The sequence below is a fragment of the Homo sapiens genome, chromosome 1 (genome assembly GCF_000001405.40).
Source record: "Homo sapiens chromosome 1, GRCh38.p14 Primary Assembly".
NCBI lineage: Eukaryota > Metazoa > Chordata > Mammalia > Primates > Hominidae > Homo > Homo sapiens.
The window spans coordinates 97076125-97099502 of record NC_000001.11 but is presented as its reverse complement, the minus strand read 5'-3'; the positions used below and the strand labels follow the sequence as shown (position 1 = coordinate 97099502).

The 23378-nt window shown below is 35.7% G+C and overlaps 1 protein-coding gene and 1 long non-coding RNA gene across 6 annotated transcripts in view; one reads left to right on the top strand and one right to left on the bottom strand.

The window, feature by feature from the left end:
* Positions 1 to 3580, bottom strand: part of DPYD-AS1 (DPYD antisense RNA 1) — a 227033-nt gene extending 223453 nt beyond the window's left edge. The window contains exon 1 of the long non-coding RNA NR_046590.1: positions 3517 to 3580. This is a non-coding gene — a long non-coding RNA (DPYD antisense RNA 1). The remainder of the gene's footprint in view (positions 1 to 3516) is intronic.
* The window catches only part of DPYD (dihydropyrimidine dehydrogenase), an 843317-nt gene extending 821557 nt beyond the window's left edge, over positions 1 to 21760 (top strand). For all 5 annotated transcript variants that reach the window (XM_047448077.1, XM_017000507.2, XM_005270562.3 and 2 more), the window contains 3 exons: positions 871 to 1014; positions 17033 to 17173; positions 20357 to 21760. In XM_047448077.1, the coding sequence (XP_047304033.1) occupies positions 871 to 1014; positions 17033 to 17173; positions 20357 to 20527 (456 nt within the window). In that variant the 3' untranslated portion in view covers positions 20528 to 21760. The remainder of the gene's footprint in view (positions 1 to 870; positions 1015 to 17032; positions 17174 to 20356) is intronic.

The window sequence follows — 23378 nt, the reverse complement described above, 5'->3', positions numbered from 1 at the left end:
AAGAGGGGAAGGACAAAGTGAAGAGAAAATAATTGTGGGATAATGAATGGTATGAGGGCATTTTCGTGTTAACTTGAAACCACTTAGCATTTTTCCATGACGCCCAGGTATCTTTCTAAATGAACTTTGTAAAGTACAATTGGATAACCTTGAAATTTAAAGCTCCGTGATGTGATTTTGAATACTGATGGAGTTTGTTTAAGCACTGTAATATTTCCTCTCCTTTTCATTTCTATTTTTGCCTCCATGCAAAATAAAATTTGTTTTCTGTACAGAGAAATCAATATTTTTACCATTTTTGTTTTTCAGCTATTCCAGTAAGTTGCAATCAACATTAGTTACAATCTTTAAAGAGATGTAGTAAGAATTTGAACACAATAAAATAGAGATACAGATGAGAACTTTGGCGAAGTACCTTTGCTATTGACAAAAGCATTTGTCAGGGACTACAACTGTGTCTATATCATGCTAAAAACCTGATGAAGGGGAAAAAAGCATCAATAGGTTTCACCTTCTGTCTATACAAACCAAACAAATGGTTTAACTAATAGCTGTTGTTTTATGTGAATGGGTTTGGTTTGCCATTGTGAACTTTCTTCCATTTAGAAATGTATTTTAATTAACATTTGTATATGTAATACATACATATTTGGTAAAAGTATTGTACTGTTGTGTTCTTTTTAATAATTAACGGAACCTGATACCGAGAAGACTAGTGGTCCAAAACAATGAGTGAAGACCTAGTTACAGTATACATGAAACAATCCCTAGACACACATTTGTTTGTTGATAATATTTATATGTTTATATCTTCCCATTTTTCTCTTCTCTGAGCTAACATGCTTCCTTATTTGTGTGTTTTCCTTTTAGAAACTGCCAAGTTTTGGACCTTATCTGGAACAGCGCAAGAAAATCATAGCAGAAAACAAGATTAGACTGAAAGAACAAAATGTAGCTTTTTCACCACTTAAGAGAAACTGTTTTATCCCCAAAAGGCCTATTCCTACCATCAAGGTAAAAATTATGCCAACTATATAAGTATGCCTACTTTACTGGTTAAATATACAAATATAGTTAAAATGTTTATTTACTGCTTAAATGTATCACTAATTTGGTTTTAGAATTATAATGAAAGTTTTAAAAACATCTGTCCATGGTGAAAACTGCATTTAAATTATAAAATAACCTTTTTTATTTGCATATTTTATACTTTTTAGAACACTGGCAAGCATGCATGTCATGGAAATTTTTATATACATTAAATGTATCAGGAGATATTAAGATGAAATTCCTAGTTTTCTTATAGTCACTTAAAAATTATTTTAATACATAATTAACTCCAAGATATCTTGTATTAGTCATGTAGTACAACTCAATTATCAATAAGCACATCAATATCAATGTGATCACTTGAAAGTTTTGGAAAAACTTTCTCTGGTTTGGCCTCTGGAAAGCCTGGACATTTATTTGGGTCTCAGGAGATTATTTTCTGGTAATAACAAAAATTACACTAAGATAGAATTATGAGTATGTGTTACCTTTCTTGATTTTTTTCCTTAAACTTTTCATTTTGACAGAAATGTAGATTCACATGTAGTTGTAAGAAATAATACAGAGAGGTCTTGTGTACCCTTTATCCAGTTTCACCTGTTTTGCATGTTGCAAAACTATAGTATGATAACACAACCAGCATACTGACACAGACACAATCTACCAATCCTATTCAAGTTTTTCCAGTTTTACTTCTATGTGTGTGTTGTATTTAGTTCTGTACAATTTTGTCATGTATGGAGGTTCATGTATCCACCACCACAGTCAAGATGCAAAACAGTGACATCACCACCAGGATTCCTCAGGTAACCCTTTTGTAACCACGCCTTCTTTTTTTCTGTCACCCTCAAGACAGTATTGTTTCCAAGCAGTCATAATGAGAAAAATGGAGGTGTTACTGGATGGCATTCTGTCTGAAATCATCATCACTAAAATGTAGTTTGCAGTTACTGAAATTCATTCTTCTGTGTTTGATGACACTCTACTCCTACATCTCCATTTTCTGTTTGAAATATCAGCTGAAAAGCTTGCTTTTATGTGTTCTCAAGTAGACCTCACTGAAATTCATCTTTAGCAGTCAACTGGAGACTGGAACCCTTAAAAATTCCTTCTACCTATGAAGAAAAAAAAAATGTATCTCATGCTAAAAACAGTGGTCCAGACTCAATGTTCCAAAATTTCAGCAATACAGAGTTCCGAAAGGGCAAAGGGAGTGGCTGACCACAAAGCGTGCCAGCACTTCAATGCCATCATTCTAAATAAAATGAACATTTGGGACTTTTAACAGCATAAAAGCCCCAAATCGTCTCTTGAGTTGTTCATGTTAAATTATTTTTGTGCCACTAAAAGTATGAACTGAACAAACTGAACACTAATGGAATGCGAAGGCCAGAACCTACAGCCCTTCACGAGCCTTTTTGCCAATGTGTGGCTATGACTACTATATGATTTGGAGATATAGTGTGTCTGGAATTGGTTCCTGCCCAGGGGTTCATGGTCTCGCTGACTTCGAGAATGAAGCCGTGGACCTTCGCAGTGAGTGTTACAGCTCTTAAATGTGGCAAGGACCCAAAGAGTGAGCAGCAGCAAGATTTATTCCGAAGAGCGAAAGAACAAAGCTTCCACAGCATGGAAAGGGACCCCAGCAGGTTGCCACTGCTGGTTGGGGTGGCCAGCTTTTATTCCCTTATTGTCCCCTCCCATATTCTGTTTTTGTCCTATCAGAGTGCCCTTTTTTCAATCCTCCCTGTGATTGGCTACTTTTAGGACCCTGCTGATTCGTGCGTTTTACAGAGCACTGATTTGTGCATTTTACAGAGTGCTGATTGGTATGTTTTTACAGAGCACTGATTGATGCATTTTACAATCCTAGTTACAGAGTGCTGATTGGTGCATTTTACAATCCTCTTGTAAGAAAAGTTCTCCAAGTCCCACTGGACCCAGGAAGTCCAGCTGGCTTCACCTCTCAATAGGAATTCTCCCAGCTTTCTCTCTCTTCTTAATCAATTTGAATTAAATGTAAAATCTCCATCTCTAGGCATCTTTTCCTTAGGTGTAAAAATTTCTAAAGGAAGATATTATTTATATTTGAAATAAAAGAAGTGCAATATGATTATGAAAGCATTTTTACCTTTTCTAGCCCTCAAATCTTTCAGAGATTGTATATTAAATATTGATAACTTAGACAAAAAACAAAACAGAGCAAACAAAAAATCTGTGGTTGCATGAAAGCCTGTAGATCATTAATCAAAAAAAAATCAAAGTCAGAATTAAACCAAAGAATTGTGAAGTCTTGGATGTAGATAAAGATTTCTGAAGTATCAAAGAGGAATAAGGCATCTTATTAAAAATAGTGCAAGTTTATGTTCCTCTCCTAAGTTGTCTTACTTTGGAGGTTATCCAGAGTGAAATGTCCTTGGTGTTACATGTTACATAAGCCTCAAGACATTGTAGATACCATCTTACCAGCATCTTAGACCTTATCAGTGTCAACATCTTAATGGGCAGCTGTGGTAGATTTTCTCAATGTCTGGTGGATTTTCCACTACCTTGGCCTTCTCCCCAGAATGTCCATACTCATTCCACCTGTTGTCATTTCTAGGCAGATGCTGTGCCCTGTCAAAAAACAAAATAGTAGCTGATAGTGGCGAGGTTTTCGGGGAAGCAAGCATTTTCAGTTTTTATAAATGCAGTTATCTCTTTAGAAAATTAGAGATTAAATCTGTTATAACAAATAACTGTATTATAAATATAAAACTGTGTATTTATATTTATATTATACTATAAAACTGTGTGTGTGTATATATGTATATATATACATATACATACACACACAGAAGCTTTAATTTGTGTAATCATCTCTAGCAAAGGCTCATTTTGTGATTTTTGCCGTTTGTTTGCTTAGGTTAACCTTTTCTACCATAAGATTATATCAGTATTTACCCCATCTAGTTGTTTTAGGATTTTAATATTTGTATTTTACTTCAATTTCTCTAAAATTTGTTTGGCTCTAAAGTATCATGTACAGTTATAACTTTATTTTTTTCCAAATAGACAGTTGTTCCAAGACCTCAATATTTGCATTTTAAAGGGATCCCTTTCATCTCTCAAATTATAATTCAGTGACAAAAATGTACCATAAATTGCATCATTTACTTTATATTCAAATTTTCAACCTCTCAAAGTTTTCCAAAACTTTTCAAGGACAAATCAAAAATGAATTAGACAAGGTTCTAATAAGGATGGTCAATCTCTAGAAAAAAGTTTTATGCCGTAAGTAATTATTTGTGCCATAATAAACAATTTTTAAATCTTTATAAATGAAAACTTCTAATTAAATTCAAAATTCTGGGTTCTAAACTCCTTATTTAATTAATACCAAACTTAAAATACCCCTTTTACACTTCTACAAAACAAAATTATTTCTTGTCCTGTAGCTTTGATCCTTTACTTTGAAATATGTTTAATATGATTCCTTTTTCCTTCTGATATTAACCTCATGGAAGAGGTAGGGGAAGGTGGGCCTTGAGAAAATCACTGAGTTCAGAGAGCAGCGTGTAGTCTCATATGATGGAAGCTGAAGAACAGGTTGGGGAAAGTAGAAAAGGATTGAAAGAACATGATGTTGGTGTCTGTATTCACCTCTCTGCTTCCTTCTCTCTGTATAATCTTCCTTTATGATAAATCTAAACGTTTCCTACACAATGACTCAACTATTCTCCATCCGAGACATCTTTTCTATACTTCAGACTTGTGTCACCATATCTTGGGGTCACCTCCACCTGCATCGTCTGACCAAGGAACCCAGTAGCCATCATACTTAGAACTAAACTGATTCCCATTCCTTCCAAACCTGCTCTTCCTCCTGAGTCCTCTGTCTCAATGAACCCCATCTTACCTAACTCAAAAAGCTGCAGTTCAGCCTGGATGTCATCTTATTACTCATCCTATTCACAAGCTAGTCAGCAATGACTATTGTTCTTATCTCTTACATCTCCCTCCTCTTACATTCTTTACATAATGCTGAGGCCTCAGTGTGTTGCTTACGTATTCTTTCCTGGAATTCTAAAACATTATATTAACTGTCCTGCTTTCTTTTGTCCTCCTTATCTAATCCATTCTCCAACTATTATGAAGGAGTCTTTTAAAAATGTAGGACTGTTTGTTTTATCCCTTGCTTAAAATTCCCCCATTGTAACCGTAATCCTAAGGTAAGCTCCTTAGCATAACCTTCAGACCCATCACATTTTAGCTTTTCCTGACCCAAGAAGCAGCTTCAATGGAATGATGAGAAGTAGAATCCAGGAGGTGATAATTTGAGGAATGAATGAAGACTGAGAAAGTAACAACAAAGTGTGCAGAATACACTTTCAGTAACTTGAGAAAGGTCAGTAGGAAAGGGATAAGAAGAGGAATCGAGTAGAGGAAAAGATTGTTTTGTTTATATGAGAACGATCCAGGCTTGCATATGCTTGCATATGTTTGGGAGAGAATAGCTGAAGCTGCCAGAAAGGGCATGATTAAGGAAACTACATCTTTGGCAAGCAGAGAGGGAAAGGAGTCTAAACAATATATTAAGATATCTTGCATAAGAGGAGAGACGTGTCATGAAGCTGAATTTGGACTTCCCAGTGTCATTTTAACAAGCAGACATATTTAAAGAAAGTGACCATAAAAATGTCTTCAGAAACTATTGCCCTCATTGAAATACAAAGCAAAGTTTGTAAAATTTTAACAGATTATATTTATGGTGAAAGAATTTCCTGAATTAGGCATGGGACTACTCTGTCACACTGCCTAGGTTCAAACTATGGCATTGCCGTTTCATAGCTGCATGAACTTGCCTCAGCTAACTAATCTGTGAAATGGAAATAATAAAAGTATCTGCCTCATAGAGTTATAAATTAGATGATGTGTGAAGTGCTTTTAGCATGGTGCCTGCACCAAATGTGTCCTAAATAAATGTTACTATTAGCTATAATATTTGAAATGAACAGTTTGAAAGAAATCCACGTTAAGATGACTATTCATTTCCATTTTGTCCAATAAAATGAACTGAAGAATGAAAATAGAAATACATAAAGCTCTGGAGGCCAAAAAAGTTGGAAGTTTTGAAGAAGCCTATGTATTTTTCAGGAAATCTTTATTGCATACCTACCATGAGATAAGCAATGCACTAGGAATTGAGCTTCTGCAGGGCAATAAATAAAACATACACAGCTTCTGTCCTCATAAAGCATACAGAATATAGAAAGAGACAGATATTAAGGAATCACACTAACAAGATAAAATTATTTTTTGATATGAGCTACATAGAAAAAATGCAAGATATATAGAATCTGTTTCATAGTGAGACCTAATTTAGATTGAAGGGGCCAATGAAAGCCTCCTTGAGGAAGTGACATTTAAGGAGCCCTGTAGACTAAGTAGAGATTAGAAGGGAATGGGGAACTGAGAATATTTCAGGTATGCCATAATGTGGTCCTGGATTTGGTAATTGGCTATGGTAATGGAAACAGAGATGAAATTAATAAAGTCTTGTTAATTCTTCCTCCAAGAGTCAGTGATTCTCATTATATTAGGCATAGGTATAGTAAAGAGCTGATAATAAGAAGACTAAGATGTCCAGCTTTTTTATGGTTCCACAGAGATAAAGAAAAATAAAAGATAATGAGTTAAGGTTTTGATGTTAGTGTTTTAGGTTTGAGGGGAGTTTGGGGTGTAGCATGAAAAACTTAGATTTGAATGTATTGAAATTGATAAAGGAATTATGGGCCTATGCTGGAGGATATAAAGGAGAAAGAGCTGACATTTCCAACGCCCACTGTGTTCCAGACCCAAGATAGAAGCTGCACATGTATTTTCTTATTTCTTACTTAACCTAATACTCTATGAAGAAGTAGGGAGTTCTGGAGGAACAAATGTGAAGAAGTGATCAAAGAAAGAGAAGGATAACCAAAATAAAATGATAGTGTGGAAGAAATACAAAAAGGAAGTCTTAAGAATAGGAAAGTGGTCCACAAGGTCAGAAAGCACCGATTGTTTTACCAATACTTTGTATTGTTTCATTTTGTCTCGCATATGCAATCAATGAAATTCCACCTCTAGTTGGCAACAGTTGTCAAATTCATCCATGTATGTTTCTTAATTTGTCCAATAATCTTTAATGTGCAACCACTATGTTCCGGTACTATAGCAGTCATTGGCACAATCCAGTAGTGAAAATCCCAGCTCTCATGGAGCTCACAGTTTAGTAGGGAGAAACAGACAATGACAAATAAACAGATGAATACATAATATGTCAGATGGTGACAAGTGTAATGGAGAAAATAGAACAAGCTTAGGAGAATAAAAATTACTAGAGAGACTGGCCAGGGAACACCTGCCTGTTTAATGGCATATGGGCAAACACCTAAAAAAGTGAGGGAATGAATGATGTGGGTATCCAGGGGAAGAACACTGCATTCAGAATGAACAGAAAGTGCAAAGACCCTGAAATAGCAAAGTCCTTGGCAGGAAACCAGTAAGGCTTTTAGAAAGGAAGACTGATATGATCTGGCTTATTTTTGCAAAGGATCTTTCTGGCTGCAGTGTTGATACAGTTTGCTAGAGGGGCAAGGGCAGAAACAAGGAGACCAGTTAGAAGCTATTGTAACAGTCCAGGCAAGGGATTGGCAGGAGGGAAAATATATACTGGATAATGTCAGAAGGCCTCAACTCCATTGTTTTAAATGAAAAGATATGTGTGAAAGTATTATACACAGCACAGCTCTATTCAAATTCTAGGAGCCACAGTTATTGTCATTTTTATACAAGTCCCTGCCATTTTGCCCATTATTTCAGACCACATCTAGATGATGTGGCTGTGTGATTTTTCAGTCCACGTTGATATTAACGGCCACATTCCCTTTAAAGTCATTTTCTGTCTGCACATGAATCAGACATTGCTTCTTGTCCTTTTATTGTGGTTGTTATTGCTGTTTTTTAGCACACACCCAGGCACGCCATGTAATTGCTGCTACATGATTACTTCAGTGTTTTCCCTAGAGTGTTTCTTCTTTCTTGACATACCATTTTTCCTACTTCCCTTTTTCCTGGAGGACCTGGGTTATCTGTTTTCATGCTTAATATTTTCTCTGTCCACCCATCTGTTTATTTTAGCTTGTTTCTTCCCTCCTCTCTGCTGGCCTCTTTATAGATTCCTCTGTTCGATAGTTTAAACTCCATGACACTGCTTTGTTTATCCTCTCAGCTTCCACAGCACATTATTCCCCATCTGCTGTAGAAAGAACCCCAGTGTCCCACAAAGTTAACTAAGCCCCTCTTGTCTGAACAAGTTTTTCAGTCATGCATTCAAGTTTCTGATCTACCCCATCTTCCCTGGTTGGGAATGCAACAATAATATTTCTAAGCAAGCTATGCTCAGTAGATCTCATCTTTTGTTCTTTTTTCCTTTCAAATGCCTTAATGACTTAATGGTCTATTTCTTCAGAGGTAGGCAGTTTCAATATCAGTCAATCAGCAAGTATGTATTTAGTATTTGCTGTGTGACCAGCAGTGTGCTAAGGACTGCAGGAGATTCAAAAAAACAGACACGGCATGGTCCAAGGCTCAGGATGTTTGTAATCTCGATGGAGATGTAGTGCTAACATATATTTATTATGCACTTGCTGCAATCCAGAAATTGTGCTAGAAACTAGGAATACAACGTGAATTTTAAAAAGAAAGACGTCTATCCTTATGGAGCTCATAGTCTAGCAAGGGAGAAAGACACATGTTAAAAATTATTTACAGTTCAATCAAATATGTACAAAATGCTCTGGGAAAACAGAGGAGTGAAAGGGATTAGTTCTGCCTTGGGTAATTGTGGAAAGCTTCACAGAGATGGTGATATTTAAAATGGAGTTTAATAAATTAGTGTTAATTAAGCAGAGAATTAATAATAAAAGCTAATATTTATTGAGTACTTATGAGGTTTCAAGCATCACTACGTGCTTGCGAATTAGCTCATTTAATCCTCACAATAACCCTCTGTGCTATTATGGAGTAAGCAATTGATAAACAGAAAGGTTAAATAACTTTCCTAAGGTCACACAGCTAGGAAGATATCAAAGCCAAGATTTGATTCCAAAGGGTAGCTCTAAACCTTGGGCCCTTAAGCACTGTCCTCTGCTGTCTCTCATGAAACATAGAAATAAGAAAGAAAAGGAAGGTGGCATTTCAAGCAAATCAGTATGTTTGCAAAGCACAGTATTCAAACATACTTGTAATAACCTGCAGCCATGGGACCTTAAATCCAATACATAATCCCTGGATCAAGCAGATAGTGACATCAAAATGGTAAACTCATTCTTTTGTTAAATTGGAATTCATAGAAAGCACAGAACTGAGAAGCAATAATGAGGAAAATAACTGGGTTTTATAAATCAGTATTAATAACAGAATATAAAAAAGCAATGGGATCAACTGATTAAACTGCTATGAATTTCATTTGAACATCAAGCATGGTTATGCCCAGTGTTATCCAGGGACTAGAGAGTCCTTGAGAACCAGAAATCTTTGCTAGACAACATACATCCTGATTCTCCTAGCCCCTTGAAAGTAAAAAAAAAAAAAAAAAAAAAACAAACAAAATGGCCTCAGAGGCCCTCCGTCCTACCCCTGGGAATGATCTGGGGCCCTGGGGACAGCCTGGCATCTGCATGATTTCCCTTTTATCAACACCACATCTTCATTTCCAATGCATAATAGCATAGCATTTACCATGCGTATGGCCCATATTATGAAGCTACCAATTCCATAAGGGAAACAGAAAGAAAAAGATTCTGAGGAAGAAGAGGGTATCAAAAGAAGTACTGGAAGGCTGATGGGAAAGAATGAGATAAAAGAAGAAAAAGAAACCTGGCCTCCTGCAATGAGTATAAAGATTTCCTTCTAAAAGATGAACAAGGACCTTCTGAAGAAGCTCCTGACATATTCTACAGGTTCACCTGTGCTAGAGAAAAGAAACCAGACAATGCCTCCTACAGGAGGCAGTTTCGTTTCCTCGCTGAGAGAACTGAAGTGACAGTGTGCACATTTGGCCCAGTTAAATGAGAAACGTGCTTTATTCCCAGGCAGCATATAACAGAGACTTGAGAGTCTGCCAAGACTTATAAAGTCCCCCGAATGCTTTCCACTTCTGTTGATATATATGAGAATGAATTCTCATTCTCTTTATGAAGCCGGGAATGTATCTCTAACGTCTTTGAATTTCTGCGTAGGAAAATGAATGGTTTAGGGGCACTAGTGATGTTTTCATCTCTTCTTCCTGCTGCTTCTAGTAAGAGATGGACTGCATCTCATAAGACTGGCAAGACAGTGTTGGCGGGACACCAGTCAGCCTGATCGAGTGCTTTATTATTTCAATTGAATTGTGAAAGGAAAGAGAAGAGTACTCAGATAAAACTGCAAGACCATATTGGATACTATGGAGCATAAACAGGAGGGAACAGAAAGAAAAATAGTGGAGGCCTTGCCCAGCAATTTCCAAAAGATACCAGAGAAATGGGCTGGGAACAAGGTTAATATTCTCACTTGTCCCTGTACCAACACATAGCAGATGAAAATTATCAAACTGAACTTTAAAAACTGAAGAGAATTTGGTAAAATAATCCCTTAAGTCTTATGGGGATTTGTAGAAATGTGATTCCTGACCAGATTATGGCATGGAAAGGTGTATCTTGTCTGGAATAAATGGGTCTGATGGAAGGGCTAGGGGAGAAGCAGTATCTATCAAAAAAATTATACACATGCATGGAAATCCACAAACCTCAGGGTGGAGTATGGAGGAAGCAGCTGCAGGAGAGTGAAATGAAAGAAAAACAAAATGTTACCCTGGGACTGCCTCAGAGACCTTGTAACCAGATGGTTAATAGGGACAGGCAAGACAGAGGAGTGATGAAAGCCTTTGCAAACTTCAGATGGAAATCCCACTCCACTAAAGGCAAAACATCGGAAAAATTATTGAATTGCCTTGTTGGAAATTCAGTCTCACAAAAGAGAGACAAGTAATGAGGGGACTTGCTGCTTTGGCTTATTTCTGGCTAAAAAAGTCTGTTTGAAGAAAATGGCAGCTAAAGGAATCTTGAAGGAAAGTAACCATTCCACGTTAACTTAGAGTTTATTAGGCCAATGAAAGGAAGTCTGAGCTTAGAAATGCAAGTATCCCACCTTTAGTAAACCTAATTTCAGGAAGTTCAGAGAAAACAATAGATATTATCTTATAGTCAGCAACTCTAACCTGAAGATGGATCAAGAAAAATGAGAAGCTGACAAGTACAAATTTGATTATATAATCACTAAGTTTCCTAAGAAGTAAGAAAAAGGTTATGCATTTAGATAACTCAGTGTTTGGTGCTTATATGAGAAAAGACAGATCACATTACCAATGATGAAATAAAAGGGTGGCATCAAGATTTAAGGACAGGTCAGAAGTGCTAAAGCCTCAAATGATCTGAGTTTGGAGAAAATATTAGGAAAAATAGCAACATATTTTGTCTATTAATACTCACTACTTAGAGCAGGTGGTACACTGTTAAATTATAATTAGAGAGAACTGTTTGACTCCTATTATCTTTCTAGAATCCCATAAAGAATTTTATCAGAACTAAAAAGAGTAGAGAAAATATATTTGAGAGTTAAAACCTAAGATACCTAAGGATATTGTAGAAATACACTTACCTTCATTAAATGAATTTAAATCCAAAGTGTCTTGCAAGACATTACCACTTTAAAGCCTGAGCTCATCCCAGATAGAAAAAATACAGTGATCAGGGCCACAGACAGGTACTGAACCAACTTTGCTCCTGGCCAATCCTTACTCATCTGACTCTCTCACTAATAATCTCCCTCTCACCCAAGCCGCTCTCACTACTTTGGTTCCAAAAGTCTCACTTGCCGCTATTCCATCTCTTGATTTACTTGCTTCTCTCACCCTCGCCGGCCAATCTAATACTTCATTTTCTGGATCATACTTTGTCTCTGCCCTCTGCTCTCAGCATATTCAAGCCGAGTCCTTAGTTATTAGAGTTCTGCCAAATTTAAACTTAAGATGTCCTTTTCTTACTGTACAGTACTCCTGTCTGCCTTCTGCTCAGAGGGCATATATAGAATATCCAGAATAAGGCACCTGCTATATTTTTAAGTGCTTTTGTAAGAGATCACTATACCACACTGATGAAAAATAAATGTTGCTCCAGGTTCTTTCCCAAAGAAAAAGGTGGATGTTGTAGGGGAAGTAGGGAAAAGATGGAAACAAATCAGAAAGATTGAGATCTAACCCCAAAGGAATCCTACAAACGTCATTCAGCTTTTGACTTGGGAGCATTAGTAAAGGAAGAAGTTAAAAATCAGCATAAATTCAGTAAGAGCAAACTGAATTATCTCATTTTCTGTTTTGAAAGATGCATTAGGCAAGAAGTGAATATACCATAAAAAGATATGACATTGGTAATGGTACAGATAAGGAAATAGTTAAATGATTAAATAGCTACATCCAAATAATTTAAATATTGAATGTTTTTGGGTTAGAAGTCATAGTGACTGCCCACAGCATGCTGTTCTGGGTCCTGGTTTTTGAAGGATACTTATTTGCAGAAGTTGTACAAAGTGCAGACAGTCCTGACCTACAATGGTTTATCTTATGATTTTTTTTTTATTTTACAATGGTTCATATTAAGAACTTAACAATGGTTCATCTTATGATTTTTCTTTCTACTTTACGACAGTGTGACTTACAATGGTTCATCTTATGACTTTTGTTTTACTTTAAGATAGGGCGAGAGCCATAGGCATGCAGTAGAAACTGATATGATACATGCTAATCAAATATGAAGACTTGAAGCTAGAAAGAACAGCTAACATGCTAGATAATCACAGTTTGAAAATACTTCCATCAGCTATTAAAAATAGACCAAAACTAATAAATTAATATTAGTCGTAATAAATTCAGAATGAAACATCAGGGACGGAATCAGGGCTGTCTAGTTCCTCACTCTTTGGCCTTAAACTTTATATCAAACAGAAACATTGACTGGTCTATTAAAAAAAAAAAAAAAAACTTGGCCAGGCGCCGTGGCTCACGCCTGTAATCCCAGCACTTTGGGAGGCCAAGGCGGGTGGACACAAGGTCAAGAGTTTGAGACCAGCCGGGCCAATATGGTGAAACCCGGCTCTACTAAAAATACAAAAATTAGCCGGGCGTGGTGGCGGGCGCCTGTAGCCCCAGCTACTTGGGAGGCTGAGGGAGGAGAATCGCTTGAACCCAGGAGGCAGAGCTTGCAGTGAGCCGAGATCACGCCACTGCACTCCAGCCTGGGCAACAGAGCGAGACTCTGTCTCAAACAAAACAAAACAAAACAAAACAACGACAACTTTTAATTATCTCAAACAAGTAATAAATTGATAATAATGGGATCTTGGAATTCTGTAGTACTTTGCAACATCCATTCCTTGAACACCTACATTAAAATTAAGTGTTATCATCTATAATTTAAAAGATTTAACATTGCTTTCTCCACATACATATCTACATATAACCATTTCCACTAATCAGGGATGGCTACACCATACTGCTGAACCTTCATACATCCAAATGGGTGTAATAATGAATTGGAATAATGAATATGGGTTCCCTGATCTCCACAGATGTGTGTACAAGAGGGGCTGGAGACTAGCCATATGTGACTTACTGATTTTATGCATCTTTCAGCCAACTCCAGATTCCAGGACATCTACTCAAGGGTATTCATAAGCTGGTAGTACTACCTGGAGGCTTTGGGATTAAAACAAATGTCCACATTCTTAGCCACATGGAATAATTTTTTTTGCTACTCTTTCCCAAAATGATTTAAAATAGTTGTCATTCTTTTATCCTCTTCCAGATAAAGAAAAAAATATAATTTTCTTAAAAAATTGTACTTAATAAGGGATGAATTGTTAACACCATGTGCTAATAACTTCTAGAGGCTCCACATTGGCTTCACATTAAACAATGATGTTTTAATAAATGACAAAAGCAAATCTCCAATTTAGAGGAAAAGGCATATTTAATGTACACAGAATGTGGACTTGCTCCACGTAAAATTTCTAAGGCATATACAACGTTTCTTTTGAAGAAGGCTTATACACTTGTTGACTGCCTAGAGAGTTTCCTGTATAATCATCATTTGAATATTTATTGATGATTTTAGTCACCATTATCTGATTCAGTGAAACAACTCTTTGGGTTGATTTATTTACTAGATTTAAAAAATTATTTTCTATCACATATAAATGGGCTTTTACAGCCAGATAGTGACCTCTTGAATTTATTATTTTAAAATAGTACTGGGAAATATTACACATATTCAGATACTTTGACTATGATTATTTTGTATTTAAAATACTCATATCAATAAAAATGTTCAGTAAAATAGCTATTACTTCATCCCACTATGTGCCTACTACCATATTATAGGTTTAGTGTATAGATATATAAAATTTATATTTATGTTAACAAATATTTGCGTACCCATTGTGTTTCAATGATCTCCAGAAACAGGATACACCACATGAGATACACAGATGAATTAAAGCTTACTAAGAGACCACAACATGGGAAGCTAAATGTAGAAAATATCCATAACATGAATTAGAATTTGCTAAATACAGAATAACAAATGAGTCAGCATAGCAGAGTGCTGATGATCGTGGTATTTAAAGTCAGGCAACACTGGTTCTCAATCCCTGCTTCATCATTTACTTAATTGGGTACTTTAAATCTCAGTCACATCATCAACTATTAAATGCATGAGGTTTAAGTGAGAAAATGTGTAAAACATATGGCACTGGCCTGAAATATATTAAGAACTCAAAAGGTATCTGTTGTCATTAGTTCCATATAATAGATATTGGCCATCAAAAAAAATTTTTAAGAAAGAGGATATGGAGGAGAGAGGGCAAGGAAGGGAGGAAAAGGGGAAAAGGTGAGAAAGAGGAAGAAAGAGAGATCACGTCCTCACATTTGGTTAGGAAAGAAGAAGGAAGGATTAAGGAAATCTTCATGAAGTAGTGGCATTCGAGATGTCTTTGAAGGATGCTTGGGATTTTGCAAAGTGGAGTTAGGAATGAAAGGTATCTTAGACAGAGGATTTAACCTAATGTTAGATCTCAGATGGGTCAGTTGAAAAGTGTGTCCTCCAGTGTAGCTGAAGTGCATGGTGTTTGAAACTGAGAAATAAGATAGAAAAAGACATGTTTGCAGAAAGCCTTAAATGCCAGCGTGGTAAGCCTGTGCCTAATTCAACAGATTTTTGAATAAGGTAGTGAGAAATTTAGTCTGTGTCTTACATCCTAGATTAAGGTGGCAGCATTGCCCAGGGTAGAGTGGGAAAGGAAGAATGTGAGGATGAAACTTATCAAGTAGTCTCTTACAATTGCATTAAAATTAATGAGAAATTCATTAATAATGTTTAAAGATGGCAGTAAACATGGAAAGGATTCAAAAGATATTGCACATCTGGAACCCAGACTTGGCAACAGATAGGAGATATTGGAGCAAGTTATGTAGTGACATATAACTATGAAATTCCAAGACTCCGTGATTGGAAAAATCGTAATGCTATTCACAAAACTAAAGAAATACAAAGGAAGACCCAGTTCGTGTTGTTGATGATAAGTTCAGTGAGTAGAGAATCTGAAGTACCAATCTCTAATGACAGTGCTCATTATGCAGCTGATAAATGTAGATCTTGAGTTTATGGGAGCATTTCAAAATGGAAATATTGATTTGGATGTCAAGTGCCCACCTACAAACAGACTGCAGTGTAGTTGAAATTATAACTTCAATGCATTATAAAGAAAATAGGGAAGACAATATTGGAAGTTTTCTAGCATCTTATCACTTGAAAGATACACAAAGGAACTGTATAAAAATGTAAACTTTGTCTCAGTTTGAAATTCCATGATAATGAGTATATTATAATTTAGAGATCAAATAGAAAAAAAAGTAAAGAAGAGTAAGCAAGATTATAAAAATAGCAGAAAATGCAATACCAAAGAGAATATGGAAAGATGATTTTAACTAAGAGTCAAACCTCCTTGAACATGGACCTTGAATTCAAACAAGATTCTCATGTTAATAGTTAAAAACAAAAGCAAAAATCTTGACAGCATGCTAATTTGACATTGCTACATTCTTTTGTTTTGTTTTATGAAGCAAAATGTTTCTTATTGTTGATGAAACATAGTCTGTGCTTCACATATTAGGCACACTCCCAATTAGTATGAAGAACAAAGCAATGTGTAATCACATGAAAGATCTTCAATGGTGAATGAAGAAAATTCTAGTTCTTTAAAGTAAAAGAGCATCTGACTTAATTATTGGATCAACCTAAGCGATTAACATAAATTAGAATTTTTAAATAATGTTGCATACTCTTCAAGACATGACAGGTGAGTATTCTATCACAGCACTTTTTAAATTAAAATCTAAAATCCTCATGCAGTGAAATAAATGCATAACATTCACACTCGTATTCCCTTCATTATGAGCAATCTAAACTTTTCTAGCATAGTGTATTACCCTTTGTCACTTTGTATTACTTTTGGTCCTTCAAGGTCCAAAAATGAGAAAAAGTTAGCCATAACAACTCACACGGGTGTCATTTATTCTTTCTGTCCACAGAAATGCTGTTTTAAATTATCCAGTCAAAAACCTATTGAATGCAGTTAATTAGGTCTCGTATTTCTAAGCCAGGCATGCATATTGCCCATCTTTCAGAAGACAAACATCTAAGCTATAATTATCATAAAAAGCTTATCTATGAGAATTATACTATCCAGTCTCCCAAGTTAATATAATGCAACATTGTATAAAAACAGGAAAATGCTGAGTGATATTAATTATTACATGAAAATGTTTTAAAATGAGCTTGCTAAGTAATTCAGTGGCTATTTTTAGGATGTAATAGGAAAAGCACTGCAGTACCTTGGAACATTTGGTGAATTGAGCAACGTAGAGCAAGTTGTGGCTATGATTGATGAAGAAATGTGTATCAACTGTGGTAAATGCTACATGACCTGTAATGATTCTGGCTACCAGGTAAGAATCCTGCTGGAATTAGAATGCTATGAGACATGTTTCTTCTTGTTTTTACGGCAGAAAGCATTTTCTGTTGCTATGTGTGAAATTTAAACCAGTGGTGCCAAATATTGCTCTTCTGCAACAGTACATCTTTCTGTCCTGTCACCCTTATAATATGGTCTTTTTTTAAAAGGAAACTTGTAACTTTTACTAACTATGCCAGCATTTAATGCACAGAATTATTTTTATACCATTTCATCAGCCACAACATTAGAGAGAAAAATCCAACTGAAAAGAGAAATGCACACAAAATTAGGAATACTAGGAAAGCATTATGCTTTAATACAGAGGAAAGGGAACAGAACTACCATTTATGGCCATTACTCTGAAAGGCTATGATTCCTTCTGCCAAAAGAGAGTTCTCTTCCATTCAGTATTGATTAGGCTTTTACTACAGTCAGAAAGAAGCACTTTCCCACCAACGAGTTGTATAGGTTGGTCCCAGGAATTCCTCTGAAGCTGGAAAAGCCTAAGAGATGTATTCTTCCCTCATGAAGTGAGCCATAGCTACTTTCCAGCTCCTCAGTCCTCAGCAGAGCATCTACCATGCAGGAAAAAAAAAAAAAAAAAGAAAAGAAAAGAAAAGAAAAAGAAAAAGAAAGAAAAATTGGGGATTTGACTCCTTCTAGTGGGCTATTCTCTTGAAAACACATTCTGTGAATTTCTCTTTGGCTTATAATTTGCTTCTTCATTTACTTCCTATATATTTATAACCTGCTATTTTTTAAAGAGTTTGGCACAACTATGACTTTTAACTGGTTGAATTTTAGAAATGAATGAAAAAATGATCATAACAATACTTTTAAACATAAGTTTCTTCTCAAAAGCCTGATTTATTGTGAAAGTTAAAGAATTTCTTAAGAAGTAGAGTTTGGAGAAAGCAAATTTTAAAGTTTTGGAAAACTACTAAACTATTAAAAATTGCTAAAAACTATACAATATTGTTTTTATTATATTTTTCAAGCTATAAGTAAAAAAAGATCTTTTTAAGAAATGATCAATGGAATGTTCTAAATTCATAATAAAATGTCCCCATGTTTAAAAAGAGAAGTTTGTGTACCTTATTCAACCTAGGGGCAGATTCCATACTGCTCATGGTGGGATTTTGCATATTCTTATGACAGACATATTTTAATTTAAAAAAAAACTATTAATTTTTCTTCCTAGTTCCACAGTTCTACACCAAATTTTTACTCAATTCATCACCTTTTTTCTAGCTAAAAGCTGTCTTAACCGTTATTTTTATAAAGTGCTAGCCATATCACATTTACTTTCATGTCGTCTTTCAAATTAACCAATCAGAGATCAATCAGGAAGTCCTATAACTATCAGAGCATCAGCTCTCTAATATCTTAAATCTTAGAACTTATGGCTCCCACCGTGGAATTCTAGACTTGGAACAACTTTAGAAAAATCTTCTTAGTAATGAGAAAGAAAATCACAAGTATGCATTTTAAAAGACTTAGAAAGTTCTTTGATTCTTCTGTCTCAGAAGATAAAAATAGAAAGCCAAAATTTTTAATTGAACATAAAGTTTTATATCTTTGCAGATTTTCAAAGTATATTTCTAAGCATTAGTCTTAATTTTTATCAGTTACTTCATTGAGTTTCCATTTATATAAAAGGGTACCTAAGGAAGATAAATCGTTTTTACTCATCCAAACAGCACCTTAAAATGTTGTTTTACAAAACATAGCACCAATTTGTGTGGACAGATATTCTCATGACTTGCTATAGCTATAGTTCTTGTTCAAATATATGTTTATTTCCTTACAGATCAGACTTTTTAAAAATATTAAGCAACTATCATGATTTACTCTGAAAATATTATTTTCATTTATATGTGCATAAAAGAGAAAAAATATAGTTGCATGCAGCTTCATTTGGAGGGGGGAATTTTTTAAACAACTATATATATATATACACACATATATAATTGAATTATAACATTGGTATGAGACAGGAAAAAAATCAAAATAATGCAATTCCTTGAAAATGTAAGATTTGTAGACCTGGCCTCAAGGGGTACCATGGGGGTGGAGAGACACTTATTGTCCCTTGTAATTTCCTCAGCCCCGACTTAGTCACTTCAAAGTAGTACACAGTCTGAGTAAAACTCTTGTATTTTTTTTGCAAGTGAGACTGCCAGGCAAGTTTCCTAAATCCCCTCTGACACCATGATCCACCCCTACGTAGCTGCCCTGAAATCCCTCCTAGATAGAAATCCTGTAACTTCCGCTGAGGTCTTACATGTCATTTTTCATCATTGAAATGTTTCTCTTTAATGGGAAAATAATCATCATATCTTTTTTTAAAAAAAACTCGGTCCTGAATTTCATACTAGGTATTCTTAATTGCTTATTCTACATTGCTTCATGGAAAGAAAAAGAGAGGAAGGGAGGGAGGAAGGGAGGGAGGGAATAGAGGAAGACGGGGGAAGGAAAATTGTAAAATTTCTCAAAATCCTAAGCCGTTTCAGAGCTGGAGGCCTGGCTGTGGTAATCTGGGCTCAATAGTGTCAGGGCCAGGACTGGACATCAGTTTTCCTGGCTCTCCATTCAGTGTTTTTCCCCTTCGTGGTGGACAATGACTAGAGTCAGCTTGGAAATCTTCAAAACTCAAAGCTGACTGTTAAGCTAATTTTTTTCTTCTGCTTTCTTCTAAAAACTACATGCATTATTTGAAATCCAAACAAATGTATTCATTGCCTCAGAATCTGACAGTAACACTTTTCCACTGTCAAGAACAAAGAGTGTGAAGAGGAAAAGGAGGACGTGTGAAAGTCCCCCAAAATCCACAGGTAGAAGACGCCCCATCCTGGTAGAACTGGAAAGACCCGAACTCTGCTCAGAACAAAGAAAACTAGAGAGTGACTATGTTATGACATATTTTCCTCACACAATGAAGAAAAATACCCCTAAGGAATTTTAAACATTGTGTTTTTAATTTAAAAGGATTTCTTTTCTCGCTCTTTTTTTCCTCCTCTGTCAGCTCAACTGTTGCTATAGTTGCACCATAGAGCTGGACGTAGTTGTCTCATAGTGTGGCTCCTCTGCAGCAGAGAAAAATGTTAACGCTAAAATGGGGACATTGTTGACCTTTGTGGTCAGTGACATCAATACCCTCTATTTCTGTTTGCAGGCTATACAGTTTGATCCAGAAACCCACCTGCCCACCATAACCGACACTTGTACAGGCTGTACTCTGTGTCTCAGTGTTTGCCCTATTGTCGACTGCATCAAAATGGTTTCCAGGACAACACCTTATGAACCAAAGAGAGGCGTACCCTTATCTGTGAATCCGGTGTGTTAAGGTGATTTGTGAAACAGTTGCTGTGAACTTTCATGTCACCTACATATGCTGATCTTTTAAAATCATGATCCTTGTGTTCAGCTCTTTCCAAATTAAAACAAATATACATTTTCTAAATAAAAATATGTAATTTCAAAATACATTTGTAAGTGTAAAAAATGTCTCATGTCAATGACCATTCAATTAGTGGTCATAAAATAGAATAATTCTTTTCTGAGGATAGTAGTTAAATAACTGTGTGGCAGTTAATTGGATGTTCACTGCCAGTTGTCTTATGTGAAAAATTAACTTTTTTGTGGCAATTAGTGTGACAGTTTCCAAATTGCCCTATGCTGTGCTCCATATTTGATTTCTAATTGTAAGTGAAATTAAGCATTTTGAAACAAAGTACTCTTTAACATACAAGAAAATGTATCCAAGGAAACATTTTATCATTAAAAATTACCTTTAATTTTAATGCTGTTTCTAAGAAAATGTAGTTAGCTCCATAAAGTACAAATGAAGAAAGTCAAAAAATTATTTGCTATGGCAGGATAAGAAAGCCTAAAATTGAGTTTGTAGAACTTTATTAAGTAAAATCCCCTTCGCTGAAATTGCTTATTTTTGGTGTTGGATAGAGGATAGGGAGAATATTTACTAACTAAATACCATTCACTACTCATGCGTGAGATGGGTGTACAAACTCATCCTCTTTTAATGGCATTTCTCTTTAAACTATGTTCCTAACAAAATGAGATGATAGGATAGATCCTGGTTACCACTCTTTTGCTGTGCACATACGGGCTCTGACTGGTTTTAATAGTCACCTTCATGATTATAGCAACTAATGTTTGAACAAAGCTCAAAGTATGCAATGCTTCATTATTCAAGAATGAAAAATATAATGTTGATAATATATATTAAGTGTGCCAAATCAGTTTGACTACTCTCTGTTTTAGTGTTTATGTTTAAAAGAAATATATTTTTTGTTATTATTAGATAATATTTTTGTATTTCTCTATTTTCATAATCAGTAAATAGTGTCATATAAACTCATTTATCTCCTCTTCATGGCATCTTCAATATGAATCTATAAGTAGTAAATCAGAAAGTAACAATCTATGGCTTATTTCTATGACAAATTCAAGAGCTAGAAAAATAAAATGTTTCATTATGCACTTTTAGAAATGCATATTTGCCACAAAACCTGTATTACTGAATAATATCAAATAAAATATCATAAAGCATTTTAAATATGGTCTTTTGCTGCCTCATTTGCAAATATAATTTCATATAAACAATTTAGATTTTGAGATAGAGCAGTTTTTGGTTAGTCCTATAGAGCATTCCATCCAGATATAAAACTCATGTTAGTTTAAGTAAAATAAGGGTGATAATAGTGCAGTCACTCAAATGTTTCACTTCCTGTCCTTCTTACCCATCTTTACCTACTGAATTAGATTCTATTCTGCCAAAAGGCATCTTTTACTGGGAACAGGCCAGGATTCTTGCAATGGCCCATGGGCAGGGACAAATGGAAAGTGGCAGCCTGCCTGCCTGTCTGAAAGTGCCAGTCTCACTGTAGGAAGTACACACCTCACTTAATATTACTGCTTAGATAGTTATGTGATATTATTGACTCATATAAATTGACTCTCTTTGCACTCTTGTCGTGGTGAGGGATTTTAACTTTTGGAGTTGGTAACACTTAGAAAACAGTTCCAGTAATCTAGAAAAGAGATTTACCAGGGCTACGTGGATGCCATCATAATGTCTTACCCCCTACCTGAATCTGATGAGAGTTTTTCACTCTGGGAGTTCTGGGAGTTTAGTAGCCTTCTGGGAATATTATAAAAGATATCCCATGTATGTACACACCTGAGTCCTCTTCAAGATACTGAATGCCAAATGCCAGGCAGAAATTTCCTTGATCGAGATTAAAGAAATAATCATGACCTTTGCATTTTTTTCTGAGAAAGAGAGGGCAAAATACTTTAACTGTTTCTGTAACTACTGTGGAGAACTACAAGTGACCAGGGTTAGGCCATGGCAATCCATGATTTTATACTAGTTTCTTCCTTACACACATTTCTTTCTGTTGTATTCACTTTCTATTTCATACCAAGAAGTCTTTCTTATCCATGTTGTGTGTAGAAAACATAACTCAATTTTACATATGTTATTTACAGAGAGACTCAGAATAAGGAAGAATGAAAACCACATTATTCCCATCCAGCAACACACCAGGAGCCATTGACCCTAACACACACATTCTCATGGCACCTTACCTCCAGACATGATTGGGGACATAAGACCGGACCAGAGAGTGTGGTTAGTGAGCACTTCCTAACGAATGTCTGAGAAGCTGTACTAAATGTTCTACATATATGATAGTTAATTTTATGTGTCAGCTTAGCTGGGCTGCAGTACCCAGACACTTAGTCAAGCATTACTCTCCATGTTTCTGTGAAGGTGTGTGTTTTGGGGTTAGATTTACATTAAAATTAGTGGACTCTGAGGAAAGCAAATTGCCCTTCATAATGTGGGTGGGCCTCATCCAACCAGTGGAAGGCCTGGCTAGAACAAAGGCTGACCTCCCTCGAGCAGGAAGGAATTCTCCAGCAGACTACCTTCAGCCTTCATCTACATCATTGGCTCTTTCTGGTTGTATATCAGACTGCCTTTGGACTTGAACTATAGCTCTTTTCTGAGAGGCCAGCTTGCAGGCTTCCCCTGTCAAAGTTGGGACTCATCAAGCTTCCACAATTATGTGTGTTCATTCCTTAAAATAACAAATGAATTTTTTTAACTAAATAAAGTGTATCAGTTATGTTTCTCTGGACAATCATGACTAATACAACATGTGTTATTA